At 37.7% G+C, this 16,486-nt stretch overlaps 1 annotated feature.

The window, feature by feature from the left end:
* Window positions 2,766–3,326: an enhancer, noted in NCBI's record as "OCT4-NANOG hESC enhancer chr1:173133798-173134358 (GRCh37/hg19 assembly coordinates)". NCBI's record gives its function as "activates a minimal SCP1, AML or CMV promoter by ChIP-STARR-seq in naive H9 embryonic stem cells {active_cell/tissue: H9 hESC(naive)}" and the evidence as "EXISTENCE:reporter gene assay evidence [ECO:0000049][PMID:30033119]".

Below are 16,486 nucleotides of genomic sequence, written 5' to 3'. Positions count from 1 at the left end.
TTTTATGAAGCCAGCATCACCCTGATACCAAAGCCACACAAAGACTACAAGAAAAGAAAATTACAAGCTAATAGCCCTAATGAACATAGATGCAAAAATCCTCAATAAAATACTAGCTCACTGAATTCAACAGCACATTAAAAAGATCATACACAATGATCAAGTGGGATTTATCCCAGAGATTCAAGGATGGTTCAACAGACACAATTTAAAAATATGATATACCACATTAACAGAATGAAGGTCAAAAACCATATAATCATCTTAGCAGATGGAGAAAAAGCACTTGACAAAATTCAACATCCTTTCATGATAAAAACACTCAACAAATGAGGTATACAAAGAATGTAGCTTAACATAATAAAGATCACGTATGACAAGCTCACAGCTAACATTATACTGAACAATGAAAAGTTGAAAGATTTTTCTCTAAGGACAAGAGCCAGACAAGTATGCCCACTTTCACCATTTGTATTCAACGTAGTACTAGAAGTTTTAGTTAGAGCAAATAGGCAAAAGAAAAAAAGAAAGAAAAGGAATTCAAACTGGAAAGTAATTGTCTCTGCTTGGAGAAGACATAATCTTACATATAAAAAACCCTAAAAACTTCACCCAAAAACTATTAGAACTAATAAATGAATTTAGTAAAGTTGTAGGATATAAAACCAACATGCAAAAATGAGTTGTGTTTCTCTACACCAAGGAGAAACTATCAGAAAAAGAATTAAGAAAAATATCCCATTTATAATAGCATCAAAAAATACTCAGGAATCCTCATCTCTACTAAAAATATAAAAATTAGCTAGGTGTGGTGGCAGGTGCCTGTAATCCCAGCTACGCAGGAGGTTGAGGCGGGAGAATTGCTTGAACCCAGGAGGTGGAGGTTGCAGTAAGCCGAGATCACGCCACTGCACTCTAGCCTGGGACACAGAGCTAGACTCCGTCTCAAAAAAAAAAAAAAAAAAAAAAGCATTGATGAAAGAAACTGAAGAAGACATAAAGATATCCCATGTTTATTGGATCTGAGGAATCAATATTGTCAAAATATCTATGCTACTCCAAGTTCTCTAGAGATTCAATGCAATCCCTACCAAAATTCCAATGGAATTTTCACAGAAATATAAAAAATAATCCTAAAATTAATATGGAATGACAAAAGACCCCAAATAGCTAAAGCAATCTGGAGCAACAAGAACAAAGCTGGAGGCATCACTCTTTTTCAATTTAAAATTATATTACACACCTCTAGTACTCAAAACAATATAGTACTGGCATAAAAATGAACACATAAACCAATGAAACAGAATAGAAAGCCCAGAAATAAATCCACACATATATGGTCAACTAATCTTTGACAGAGGCTCATTGTCAAAGTATGCCTAGAATATATAATGAGGAAAAATAATCTCTTCAATAAATGGTGTTGGGAAAACTGGATATCCATATGCAAAAAGAGGAAACTGAGTTCTTACAATAATAGACTCAAAATGGATTACAGATTTTCATATCGATATTTTTTTGTATATGACATCAAAAGCACAGGCAAGAAAAGTGAAAATAAACAAGCGGTACTATATTAAATTGAAAAGTTTCTGCACAGGAAAGAAAAAAATCAATAAAATTAAAAAGCAACCCTAGGAATGGAAAATATTTGTAAATCATATATCTGATAAGGAGGTAATATCCAAAATATATAAAGACCTCATACAACTCAATAGTAAAAAATCAAATAACCCAATTAAAAATGGGGAAAGGACCTGAATAAATATTTTCCTAAGGAATAAATACAAATAGCTAACTGTTCTATAAAAAAGTGTTTGACATCAGTAATCATCAAGGAAATGTAAATCAAAACTACAATGAGATGTCACCTCACACCTGTTAGGGTGGCTGCTATACAGTTAAAAGATATCAAGTATTGGCAAGGATGTGAAGAAAGGAGATGGCTTATACATTGTTGGTGGGAATTTAAATGGGCACAGCCATTACGGAAGACAGTATGAAGTTTCCTCAAGTAATTAAAAACAAAACTACCACATGATTCAGCAATTTCATTACTGAGTATATACCCAAAGGAAATAAAATCACTATCTTGAAGAGATATCTGCCCTCCCATGGTCATTGAAGTATTATTCACAATAGCTGAAACATGGAAACAACCTCAATGTCTGTTGATAGATGAATGCACAAAGAAATTGTGGTATATATACAAAATTGAATATTATTCAGCCTTAAAAAAGAAGAAAATCCTTCCATCTGTGACAACATAGTTGAAACCAGATGACGTTATGTTAAGCAGAATAAGCCAGACATAAACAAATCAAATACTACATGATCTCACTTATATGTGGAATTTAAAAATATCAAACTCACAGAAACAGAGAATAGGAGGGGTACCAGGGATCAGACAGGGTGGGTTGGGATAAAAGGGGAGATGTTGGTTAAAGAGTACGTACTTGCAGTTATAAGATGAATAATTTTCAGAGACCTAATGCACAGCATGGTGACTGGAGTTAATGTATTGTGTACTTGAAATTTGCTAAGAGAGTATATATTAAGAATTCTCACCACAGAAAGGTGAGGCAGCACGTAAGTTAATTAGCTTGATTGTGGAAATCATTTTGTTCCTGGACCAAACTGAGAGTTGGGCTGCTATTTCTCATGGCCCAATAATGAGACACAGATGTACTGGGGAGGAAGAGAGTTTTTATTTCTGTAACAGGTTACAGGGAGAAGGCCTGGAAATGATCACCAGACCAACTCAAAATTACAGAGTTTTCCAGCGCTTATATACCTTCTAAGCTATATATCTACGTGTAAGTGTCCATTCACCTAAAGACATAAGTGATTAGCTTCTTTTAATCTATAACTAAGGTCTGAGTCCTGAAGACCTTCCTCTGGAGCCTCAGTACATTTACTCAATCTAAATGAGTCCAGGTGCTGGGGTGATTGCCCTTGTCTCCTGCTAAATCACGGAGATTTGGGGCGTTCCTTCAGACCTCCAATTAACTTGTTTGTGGAGGCCTGGGGAGTTTCTTCACACACATAATAAAGCTTGTTTAATCCTAAATGGGTCCTGTTAAGAATTCCTTCGTTATTTTGTCATGCGTTAAGGCCCAGGAAAGGTCTAGGCAAACTTCTTGGCGGGCTTTTGTTACATTCCAGCCTTTGCATGAGGGCACGGGCTTTTTCTGGCTTTTAATATTTAACTTAACCACTTGGTCAGTACCGAAACAGTTGTTATGGGGGCCTGTATTAGTGAGACATGGCCTGCCACAATTTCAAAATGTATATGTATATCAAAACATGTTGTATGCCTTGAATGTATGAAATTTATATTTGTCAATTACACCTTAATAAAGTTAGAAAAATGGAAGGAAAAAGAGCATTCTACAGACTTAAGAATGATTAATTTAAAAGATGGACTTACTACTTTTGCAGATGAGAAAACTAAGGTTTACAATAGCAGAGACTACTAGCTAATAACCAGAGTTGTCTCTTCTTTTTTCTGGAACTCCCAGCCTTCCTTGCAGTTAGGAATGGATATTTGACAGACTTCTAACTAATACAGTGTTAGTCAAGGCCCACCCACCTGTTGCCCTGTATGTCCTCTCTACTGGCTGTATGTTGACCTCTAGGGCAACGGAAGCCTTCATTTGCCTAGAGGCAAATGCTTTAACCAACTGCATGGAATAGACACCTTTCTCCTCTTTTCTTGCCAATCAGAAACACCTGTTTGGTCTATATAAGCAAGAAATTTCCAATATTTTAAGTCACTGAGATCTTAGAATTTTTATTTTATAGTAGCTAGAATTGGTTAACTAGTATAGTTGGTAAGAATATGAAATTGGATATATATAGAACCGCTCACAGAGCCAAGTTTATAATCTCAGAGCATCAAGAAATCAGACCATAAATCTGCCTTTTTCTTTTCTTCACATGCTGCACTTTAGACAGGACTTAAAACTCATAAAACTGTTAGTCTGACTCCTATCTTTGTTGAGATTGATGCCTACAAATGAAGGATAATTATTTTTGTATTTGTAATGAAAATACAACTAGTCAAATGTAAGCATTGCATCAATGATAAGACCTGTTATTATGTTTAATATTATTATAATATTATGTTTTTCTGTAACTGAGTGTCTTCTTTTTTATGCTTTCTAATACCATTGTACAGGTTAAGTCAGGAAATATGGCAGCATTATAAACATTGCTCTTCTGAAGTCTAAATGTTTAATGAAATCATTGAAACAAAGCTTTACATCCAAATAGAAGTGCAATCTTTAAGTCAATTATTTTCCTATGGCCTGTCCCTACTCTAAAGTCATAGCATAATGGTTATGATGATAACAACCAATTCTCATGAAGCCTACGCTGTACCTATAACCTGATTCAATATAATCTGAAAGGGATCTGGGACTCTACTTCTCTACTCAAAATATTTAAAATGACTTGTTGAAGTTTTTACAAACATATGGTTCTCTAGATCTCCATACAGCAATGATCAAAAAGAGAAATGAAAACTTTGCCGCTGACTTGTCTGGTGCAATTTACTGCATATGTTTTATTTGCAAGTCAGCAGTTTAGGTTTCCCTTCAGACCTAGCCAGTGTGGTGTACTAGAAATGAACTATGTACTTCAGGCAAGACCCTTGGGTTCCAGAATAAAGTCTGCCACACATCTCACAACCCTTGGCCTTAGATTTATAGTTTGTCATCCTAATTCTTGTTTTCAAAAAGTTCTGAATCTATGGAATAGGTAAATATGTCAGTATAATCTCTAATATTTCTCCTGAATCTAATATTCTACTAGAGAAATAGCCATATTTAGGGGGAGAGTTACCACTAACATCACCATCATCATCACAGTTCTAAGGGCAATAATATATAATAGTGACTAGGAACAGATTCTGGAGCCATATGACCTGTGTTTAAATCTTAGTTCTACCACTCACTAGCTGTGCAAGATACTTTGGACAAGATACTAAACCACTCTAAGACTCAGAATGTTCATCGGTTAAACAGGGGTGAGGATAATAGTATTCACTTCAAAGAATCACTCAGTGGATTAAATTATTTCACCTATAGTTATGCACTGCATAATGTTTGGTCAATGACAGACTGCATGTACAACAGTGGTCCATAAGATTATAAAGGAGCTGAAAAATTTCTGTTGCCAAGTGAAGTCATAGCCATTGTAACATTGTAGTATAACACATTACTCACCTGATTGAGGTGATGCTGGTACAAACCAACCTAGGTTGCTGCCAGTGGTATAAAAAGTACAGTATATACAATTATGTACAGCATGTAATATGTGATAATGATAATAAACTACTATGTTACTGGTTTATGTGTTTATTATAGTATTTATTTTTATCATTATTAAACTATACTCCTTCTACTTATTAAAAAAAAGTTAACTGTAAAACAGCCTCAGGCAGGGCCTTCAGGAGGTATTTTAGAAGGCATTGTTATCACAGGAGATGACAGCTCCATGTGTGCTATTGCCCCTGAAGACCTTCCAGTGGAGCAAGATGTGGAGGTGGAAGACAAGTGATATTGATGATCCTGACCCTGTGAAGGCCTAGGCTAATGTGTGTGTCTTAGTTTTTAACTTTTAAAAAGTTTAAAAAGTAAAAAACAAAAATCAGAAATTTTAAAAATAGAAAAAAGCCTATAGAACAAGAATATAAGGAGAGAAAATATTTTGTATAGCTGTGCAATATGTTTGTGTTTTAAGGTGTTATTAAAAAAGAAAAAAGGTAAAGAAATTAAAATGCTTATCAAGTAAAAAAGTTATAGTAAGCTAAAGTTAATTTATTGTATAAGAAAGAAACATTTTTAAATAAACTTAGTGTAACCTAATATACAGTGTTTAAGAAGTCTACAGGAGTGTACAATAATATCCTAGGCCTTCACATTCACTCACCACTCACTCACTGACTCATCAAGAACAACTTCCAGTCCTGCCAGCTCTATTCATGGTAAGTTCCCTACACAGGAAATTGCCTGAAGACACATTTCTCAGAATGTACACCCATCTTTAAGTGATGCATGATCATATATAAAGCATTTAGAAGGTTCCGGACATCTACCTGGTAAATACTATATATTAGTTTTTATTGTTAAGGTTTTAGGGTAAGTCATGGCTGGGAAAAATATGAGACCATCAAGGTCTCGTATTCCTGTCACTTTTCTTTATCTATGTGTCTATAAAAGGCGTGGTGATAGATATCAGAAAAGTGTGGGTATTTTGACTCTCTTGGGGTGATAAGGAAGTGTTGCTAATACTCTGATTCTTAGGTTGGGTAGTGGATAATGAGTGTTAGTTTCATTATTATGTTCCATAATATACACATATACAGTATGTATTATTTTGCCTGCATTAAATATTTCATAAAAACAATGGGATTTGGGAAATTCTACTTCTGAATATGCATGATATTTTATATATAGATGTGCAAGTCTAATAAGAATAAATTTGTAACATTAAAAAATCATAGGACGAGCACCCTGATAAACCCAATTGCTGAGTGACATCCGAGAAGCTGAGTTAAATTCAATGTTGATTTGCTTTGCCTAGAAGAATGGGACTGAGATGGGAATGAGCCATATCAGATACAATGGTAAGGTGGGTAATATTCATCTTTGATGCCAACAGGATTCTACTGTTTATTCCTTTACACTCCTGGTTTCCTCTGGATCTCACCTTCAATCTTCATCAAATCACACTTGTTGGCCACTATCACTTATTGCCTAGACTTATTTGACGTCCTCCTAACAGCTCCCCTTGTCACCAGTCATGTCCTCTCCAATCCTCTATCTGTCCTACATCCATCAGGTGCTTTTGAAAATGCACATTTGACCATGTCACTTCTTAGCTTGAAACACTTAGATGATAACCCATTGATTTCTGAACAAGGTTAACATGGTGTGGCATAGCAAAGACTATTAGTTGCCCTTAATATCTTTTTTCTTTCATCCTTACTAACAGAAGCCTGATTTTGTTAGAGAGAGCAATTGTGCTCAGCTACTAGCATCCCTTGCAGTTGGAATGGTTATTCTGGCCAAGGAGATGTTCTATATTCTGGCCAAGGCGATATAAGTCAAAGTATAAGTAGATATAAGTAGAGAGTGGCATCTATAAGAGCTCTGTAAAAAGAGTCTCACTCAGGGGCACTGTAACCTGCTATTCTTTTTCTATTATTCCATCTCCCTGCTTAGCAGAAATAGTGCCTAAAGCTGAAGTGGCCATCTTAAGAGCTTGAAATGGTCTTATGGCAAGAACTCCTGCACTAAAGATGGCAGAGCTGAAAGCTAGAATAAGTTGGGATCTTTGATGTTTCTTTCATCATGGAGGTAATTTGGACTGCCTACTCCTGGTCTTGTTTTTGTTGGGACTCAGAAAACTTGGAAAATACCACAAAATGAAGGCCTCGGAAACAGCCTCAGAAGCAAAAGTTTTTCTTACATTCTCCTGCCTCTTCTCAGTCTCGTTCTCCCCTGAGGATAACCAGAGACACTAGAATCCCCTTTTCCCCAAGGTGGGGTCATGGAAACTAGAACCCTCTTTTCCCAAAGCCAGTCATAAAACCTAAAATTATTACTCTCACTTTGACTCCACATTTCTTTGTAAAAACTGGCCATAAATAAATTATCTGATCTACCTTGTTTGACTGTAGGTCATAAGACCCCTGTTCCAGAGAAGTCTCTACCGATACCCAGAAGGAAGAAATGCATGCTCAGAGAGGCCAGGAAGGATCCAGATAGAAGCTGTGTAGAAATATAATTGGACCAATAAGGTATGATCTAAAGAGTGGGGAGTGTGTCTTCATTCTGAAGGCTTCCAAGTACATGTTAATAAATTTGTATGCTTTTTATCGCATTAAGCTGCCCCTTGTCAGTAATTTTCAGTGAACTTTAAGAGGGTGAAGGGGAAGTTTTTCCTTGGCCCCAAAATTTTACATGAGAGAAAAATAATCTATCTTATTTAAATAATTATTTTTTTTATTAATAGCATTTAATAGAAGTCAAAGCCATATAAAAGTGGGATGACTGAGGTGTTTTTTTTAAATTTTATTATTATCATATTTTAAGTTTTAGGGTACATGTGCACAATGTGCAGGTTTGTTACATATATATACATGTGCCATGTTGGTGTGCTGCACCCATTAACTCGTCATTCAGCGTTAGGTATATCTACTAATGCTATCCCTCCCCACTCCCCCCACCCCACAACAGTCCCCAGAGTGTGATGTTCCCCTTCCTGTGTCCATGTGTTCTCATTGTTCAATTCCCACCTATGAGTGAGAACATGCGGTGTTTGGTTTTTTGTCCTTGCGATACTTTGCTGAGAATGATGGTTTCCAGTTTCATCCATGTCCCTACAAAGGACATGAACTCATCATTTTTTACGGCTGCATAGTATTCCATGGTGTATATGTGCCACATTTTCTTAATCCAGTCTGTCGTTGTTGGACATTTGGGTTGGTTCCAAGTCTTTGCTATTGTGAATAGTGCCGCAATAAACATACGTGTGCATGTGTCTTTATAGCAGCATGATTTATAATACTTTGGGTATATACCCAGTAATGGGATGGCTGGGTGAAATGGTATTTCTAGTTCAAGATCCCTGAGGAATCACCACACTGACTTCCACAATGGTTGAACTAGTTTACAGTCCCACCAACAGTGTAAAAGTGTTCCTATTTCTCCACATCCTCTCCACACCTGTTGTTTCCTGACTTTTTAATGATCACCATTCTAACTGGTGTGAGATGGTATCTCATTGTGGTTTTGATTTGCATTTCTCTGATGGCCAGTGATGATGAGCATTTTTTCATGTGTTTTTTGGCTGCATAAATGTCTTCTTTTGAGAAGTGTCTGTTCATGTCCTTTGCCCACTTTTTGATGGGGCTGTTTGTTTTTTTCTTGTAAATTTGTTTGGGTTCTTTGTAGATTCTGGATATTAGCCCTTTGTCAGATGAGTAGCCTGCGAAAATTTTCTCCCATTCTGTAGGTTGCCTGTTCACTCTGATGGTAGTTTCTTTTGCTGTGCAGAAGCTCTTTAGTTTAATTAGATCCCATTTGTCAATTTTGGCTTTTGTTGCCATTGCTTTTGGTGTTTTAGACATGAAGTCCTTGCCCATGCCTATGTCCTGAATGGTATTGCGTAGGTTTTCTTCTAGGGTTTTTATGGTTTTAGGTCTAACATTTAAGTCTTTAATCCATCTTGAATTAATTTTTGTATAAGGTGTAAGGAAGGGATCCAGTTTCAGCTTTCTACATATGGCTCCTAGTTTTCCCAGCACCATTTCTTAAATAGGGAATCCTTTCCCCATTGCTTGTTTTTCTCAGGTTTGTCAAAGATCAGATGGTTGTAGATATGTGGCATTATTTCTGAGGGCTCTGTTCTGTTCCATTGATCTATATCTCTGTTTTGGTACCAGTACCATGCTGTTTTGGTTACTGTAGCCTTGTAGTATAATTTGAAGTCAGGTAGCATGATGCCTCCAGCTTTGTTCTTTTGGCTTAGGATTAACTTGGCGATGCGGGCTCTTTTTTGGTTCCATATGAACTTTAAAGTAGTTTTTCCCAATTCTGTGAAGAAAGTCATTGGTAGCTTGATGGGGATGATATTGAATCTATAAATTACCTTGGGCAGTATGGCCATTTTCACGATATTGATTCTTCCTACTCATGAGCATGGAATGTTCTTCCATTTGTTTGTATCCTCTTTTATTTCCTTGAGCAGTGGTTTGTAGTTCTCCTTGAAGAGGCCTTTCACATCCCTTGTAAGTTGGATTCCTAGGTATTTTATTCTCTTTGAAGCAATTGTGAATGGTAGTTCACTCATGATTTGGCTCTCTGTTTGTCTGTTATTGGTGTATAATAATGCTTGTGATTTTTGTACATTGATTTTGTATCCTGAGACTTTGCTGAAGTTGCTTATCAGCTTAAGGAGATTTTGGGCTGAGACAATGGGGTTTTCTAGATATACAATTATGTCATCTGCAAACAGGGACAATTTGACTTCCTCTTTTCCTAATTGAATACCCTTTATTTCCTTCTCCTGCCTAATTGCCCTGGCCAGAACTTCCAAAACTATGTTGAATAGGAGTGGTGAGAGAGGGCATCCCTGTCTTGTGTCAGTTTTCAAAGGCAATGCTTCCAGTTTTTGCCCATTCAGTATGATATTGGCTGTGGGTTTATCATAAATAGCTCTTATTATTTTGAGATACATCCCATCAATACCTAATTTATTGAGAGTTTTTAGCATGAAGCATTGTTGAATTTTGTCAAAGGCCTTTTCTGCATCTATTGAGATAATCATGTGGTTTTTGTCTTTGGTTCTGTTTATATGCTGGATTACATTTATTGATTTGTTTATGTTGAACCAGCCTTGCATCCCAAGGATGAAGCCCACTTGATCATGATGGTTAAGATTTTTGATGTGCTGCTGGACTTGGTTTGCCAGTATTTTATTGAGGATTTTTGCATCGATGTTCATCAGAGATATTGGTCTAAAATTCTCTTTTTTTGTTGGGTCTCTGCCTGGCTTTGGTATCAGGATGATGCCGGCCTCATAAAATGAGTTAGGGAGGAATCCCTCTTTTTCTATTGATTGGAATAGTTTCAGAAGGAATGGTACCAGCTCCTCCTTGTACCTCTGGTAGAATTCGGCTGTGAATCCATCTGGTCCTGGACTTTTTCTGGTTGATAAGATATTGATTATTGCCACAATTTCAAAGCCTGTTATTGGTCTATTCAGAGATTCAACTTCTTCCTGGTTTAGTCTTGGGAGGGTGTATGTGTTGAGGAATTTATCCATTTCCTCTAGATTTTCTAGTTTATTTGCATAGAGGTGTTTGTAGTATTCTCTGCTGGTAGTTTATATTTCTGTGGGATCGGTGGTGATATTCCGTGTATCATTTTTTATTGTGTCTATTTGATTCTTCTCTCTTTTCTTCTTTATTAGTCTTGCTAGTGGTCTATCAATTTTGTTGATCTTTTCAAAAAGCCAGCTCCTGGATTCATTAATTTTTTGAAGGGTTTTTTATGTCTCTATTTCCTTCAGTTCTGCTCTGATTTTAGTTATTTCTTGCCTTCTGCTAGCTTTTGAATGTGTTTGCTCTTGCTTTTCTAGTTCTTTTATCTTGCTTTTCTAGTTCTTTTAATTGTTATGTTAGGGTGTCAATTCTGGATCTTTCCTGCTTTCTTTTGTGGGCATTTAGTGCTATAAATTTCCCTCTACACACTGCTTTGAATGTGTCCCAGAGATTCTGGTATGTTGTGTCTTTGTTCTCGTTGGTTTCAAAGAACATCTTTATTTCTGCCTTCATTTCGTTATGTACCCAGTAGTCATTCAGGAGCAGGTTGTTCAGTTGCCATGTAGTTGAGCAGTTTTGAGTGAGTTTCTTAATCCTGAGGTCTAGTTTGATTGCACCGTGGTCTGAGAGACAGTTTGTTATAATTTCTGTTCTTTTACATTTTGCTGAGGAGTGCTTTACTTCCAACTATGTGGTCAATTTTGGAATAGGTGCGGTGTGCTGAAAAAAATGTGTATTCCGTTGATTTGGAGTGGTGAGTTCTGTAGATGTCTATTAGGTCTGCTTGGTGCAGAGCTGGGTTCAATTCCTGGATATCCTTGTTAACTTTCTGTCTCGTTGATCTGTCTAATGTTGACAGTGGGGTGTTAAAATCTCTCATTATTATTGTGTGGGAGTCTAAGTCTCTTTGTAGGTCACTAAGGACTTGCTTTATGAATCTGGGTGCTCCTGTATTGGGTGCATATATATTTAGGATAGTTAGCTCTTCTTGTTGAATTGATCCCTTGAGCATTATGTAATGGCCTTCTTTGTCTCTTTTGATCTTTGTTGGTTTAAAGTCTGTTTTATCAGAGACTAGGATTGCAACCCCTGCCTTTTTTTGTTTTCCATTTGCTTGGTAGATCTTCCTCCATCCCTTTATTTTGAGCCTATGTGTGTCTCTGCATGTGAGATGGGTTTCCTGAATACAGCACACTGATGGGTCTTGACTCTTTATCCAATTTGCCAGTCTGTGTCTTTTAATTGGAGCATTTAGCCCATTTACAATTAAAGTTAATATTGTTATGTGTGGATTTGATCCCGTCATTATGATGTTCGCTGGTTATTTTGCTCATTAGTTGATGCAGTTTCTTCCTAGCCTTGGTGGTCTTTACATTTTGGCATGTTTTTGCAGTGGCTGGTACCGGTTGTTCCTTTCCATGTTTAGTGCTTCCTTCAGGAGCTCTTTTAAGGCAGGCCTGGTGGTGACAAAATCTCTCAGCATTTGTTTGTGTGTAACGTATTTTATTTCTCCTTTACTTATGAAGCTTAGTTTGGCTGGATATGAAATTCTGGGTTGAAAATTCTTTTCTTTAAGAATGTCGAATATTGGCCCCCACTCTCTTCTGGCTTGTAGAGTTTCTGCCGAGAGATCCGCTGTTAGTCTGATGGGCTTCCCTTTGTGGGTAATCAGACTTTTCTCTCTGGTTGCCCTTAACATTTTTTCCTTCATTTCAACTTTGGTGAATCTGACAATTATGTGTCTTGGAGTTGCTCTTCTCGAGGAGTATCTTTGTGGCATTCTCTGTATTTCCTGAATGTGAATGTTGGCCTGCCTTGCTAGATTGGGGAAGTTCTGGACAGTATCCTGCAGAGTGTTTTCCAACTTGGTTCCATTCTCCCGGTCACTTTCAGATACACCAATCAGACGTAGATTTGGTCTTTTCACATAGTCCCATATTTCTTGGAGGGTTTGTTCATTTCTTTTTATTCTTTTTTCTCTAAACTTCCCTTCTCACTTCATTTCATTCATTTCGTCTTCCATCACTGATACCCTTTCTTCCAGTTGATGGCATCGGCTCCTGAGGCTTCTGCATTCTTCACGTAGTTCTCGAGCCTCGGCTTTCAGCTCCATCAGCTCCTTTAAGGACTTCTCTGGATTTGTTATTCTAGGTATCCATTCGTCTAATTTTTTTTCAAAGTTTTTAACTTCTTTGCCATTGGTTTGAATTTCCTCCTGTAGCTCGGAGTAATTTGATCGTCTGAAGCCTTCTTCTCTCAACTCGTCAAAGTCATTCTCCATCCAGCTTTGTTCCGTTGCTGGTGAGGAGCTGCACTCCTTTGGAGGAGGAGAGGCGCTCTGCTTTTTAGAGTTTCCAGTTTTTCTGCTCTGTTTTTTCCCCATCTTTGTGGTTTTATCTACTTTTGGTCTTTGATGATGGTAATGTACAGATGGGTTTTTGGTGTGGATGTCCTTTCTGTTTGTTAGTTTTCCTAACAGACAGGACCCTCAGCTGCAGGTCTGTTGGAGTTTGCTAGAGGTCCACTCCAGACCCTGTTTGCCTGGGTATCAGCAGCGGTGGCTGCAGAACATTGGTGGCTGTAGAACAGCGGATATTGGTGATCCACAAATGCTGCTGCCTGATCGTTCCTCTGGAAGTTTTGTCTCAGAGGAGTACCCTGCCATGTGAAGTGTCAGTCTGCCCCTACTGGGGTGTGCCTCTCAGTTAGGCTGCTCGGGGGTCAGGGACCCACTTGAGGAGGCAGTCTGCCTGTTCTCAGATCTCCAGCTGAGTGCTGGGAGAACCACTACTCTCTTCAAAGCTGTCAGACAGGGACATTTAAGTCTGCAGAGGTTACTGCTTTTGTTTGTCTGTGCCCTGACCCCAGAAGTGGAGCCTACAGAGGCAGGCAGGCCTCCTTGAGCTGTGGTGGGCTCCACCCAGTTTGAACTTCCTGGCTGCTTTGTTTACCTAATCAAGCCTGGGCAATGGCAGGCGCTCCTCCCCCAGCCTCGCTGCCGCCTTGCAGTTTGATCTCAGACTGCTGTGCTAGCTAACAGCGAGACTCCGTGGGCGTAGGACCCTCCAATCCATGTGCGGGATATAATCTCCTGGTGTGCCGTTTTTCAAGCCTGTTGGAAAAGCTCAGTATTAGGGTGGGAGTGACCCAAATTTCCAGGTGCCGTCTGTCACCCCTTTCTTTGACTAGGAAAGGGAACTCCCTGACCCCTTGTGCTTCCCGAGTGAGGCAATGCCTCTCCCTGCTTTGGCTCGCACCCAGTGCGCTGCACCCACTGTCCTGCACCCACTATCTGGCACTCCCTAGTGAGATGAACCCGGTACCTCAGATGGAAATGCAGAAATCACCCATCTTATGCGTTGCTCATGCTGGGAGCTGTAGACCAGAGCTGTTCCTATTCAGCCATAATTCTTTTGGTGATTTCCATTTCTCACAGTGACACAGTGACACAACATTTCTAAGTTTTGCTCATAGATTTATGACCTGGTTGCTCCCTGTCTCTTGAGCCTCACCTTCTACAAAGCCTACCTATTTTTGCCCTCTACCCTTAATGCTGTACATCTCAAGCAGAATAAACTACATTCAGTTTTCTAAACTTGTTGCACTGTTCTCTCTGCTTGAAATATTTTCTTTCCTTCCTTTTATAATGTCTGCTCTTTTTTCTAGATTCAGTGATCACTTATTCTAGGACAGCTTCCTTTTAACTCTGAGACTGGATACTTATTCTATGTATTCCCATAAAACATCCTGAACTTTGTGTTTTGCCTGGTATCAATTTTAATTGCTAAATCACTTGTATGTTTCATTCACTAGGTCTTAGATTCAATGAGGGCAGGGGCTGTCTTCTGTCTACAGTTTTATCCCTAATATTTGGCAGGAATCCTGGCACCTTACAGCCAGTCTGTACATGTGTGATGACTGGAGAATGAATGGATGCATGGATGGATGGATGGATGGATAAATGGATGGATGGATAAATTCACACCAAAGTGAAAATGATGTATTTATCTTAATTATCTGCTTCTAATTGGGCTATTTTACCTACAAAAATAGGCAGAGCATAACTCCTGTGAAAGAACTAGGTGGTCCTTTTAGTTCTCCTGATATTGCATGACACAGCCTCCAGTTCCACAGAAACAAATGAAGATAGCAGCCTTCCACTTTTGTCTGGGAGCCTTTGTCAATATGCACTCCTCGCTGTTTCTCCTCCTCCTCACCACCTCCCACAAACCATGGCTTAGAGGAAAATTCAATTAAGGATGAGTATTTCTTCAGAGCAAACACCATCTCTAATTTAAATAAGCAGATCCCAAGGAGTCAATTGGGCTCTTTTATGGTTGAGTAATGAGCCTGGAGGAGTGTGTTGCCATGTGTCAGATGCTATAATGATATCATCAACAATTTGTGCAAGCTTGACTTTTCTCTCCTCAGTTTTTATTGTTACTCACACTTTCATGTTCTTTGTTCCTTTTCTGAAGAAATGATTTGCCAAAAGTTAGCTTGTCTTAGGGTCTATGCCCAGGGAGAGGCCGAAACTTGGCTTGAAGTATTTGTTGGCCAAGATTCAATTATACTATTCATAATTTACTTGATTTTGTGAGTCTAAGGCAGGTAACATCAAAAATTGTTACTAAAAGCTGAGGACCTGGGATTTCCATTAATTCTTTTTTGTTAAAATTAGCAATATAATTTATTTATTGGTAGTATAAGAAAATGTGGTGCAACTTAGAAGAATGCTATCTTATATTTTGTCAATTATAACATTCAAACTACAAAACACAAAAATTCAAAATAGCTTTAACATTTTCCCTAATGTCTGTCTAGTTTCAAGTGCCTCATTTTAGGAGCTGTGTGTGTATATATATATACACACACACACACATATATATACATATGTATATATACATATACATATATATGTATACACACATACATATATATTCTTTCTATATGTGTATACATATAATAAGTATATATACACAGAAATATATTCAATTTTGTTTTCCTGGGTGAACATTTGCTTGGCTTATTTAGAATAAGTTTTCTATCACTCTTTTAACTAGAATGTCTCCCCAGTTTTATGGAGTTATAATTGACAAATAATAATTGTATGTATTCAAGGTATACATCATGATGTTTTGTGAAATGAGTGCCACAATCAAGATAATTAACATAGGCATCACCTCACCCAGTTATCTTCCATTAATTTTTGTGATTTGGCTAAGGAATAAAATGCCCACCCTCAAAGACTGATAAATAAAGTAGCTAAGTTTCAAGAGTTGGAAAAATTAGCTCTTAATTTTCCTGACATTGTGTTCTATCCCTGAATAAAGGACAGATTACTTCCTAAATTTTCTTCTTGTAAGTCACTCAGACGGACTTCTATAATTCTGAAAAGGAGACTTGGGACTAAGGACCAGAGAAGCTGCATTTCTGGAACTTATATATAAAATTTTACTTGTGTCTGTTTAAAAATTACTGAAGATATACATATTGATGGACTTTTATCAACAGTCACCTACTCCTATCTGCCTGACCAATATCAGAATAGAATGAAATGAAAATAAAATTCATGGTGTATCTCGATTCTTTTTGGAGTTGTAGCAAATTCAGCCAAAGTCAGCCAAATCTTTTAACAATTGTTTTGCAACA

Source organism: Homo sapiens, chromosome 1 (assembly GCF_000001405.40).
Source record: "Homo sapiens chromosome 1, GRCh38.p14 Primary Assembly".
NCBI lineage: Eukaryota > Metazoa > Chordata > Mammalia > Primates > Hominidae > Homo > Homo sapiens.
This window is presented reverse-complemented; position numbering and strand designations above follow the sequence as displayed.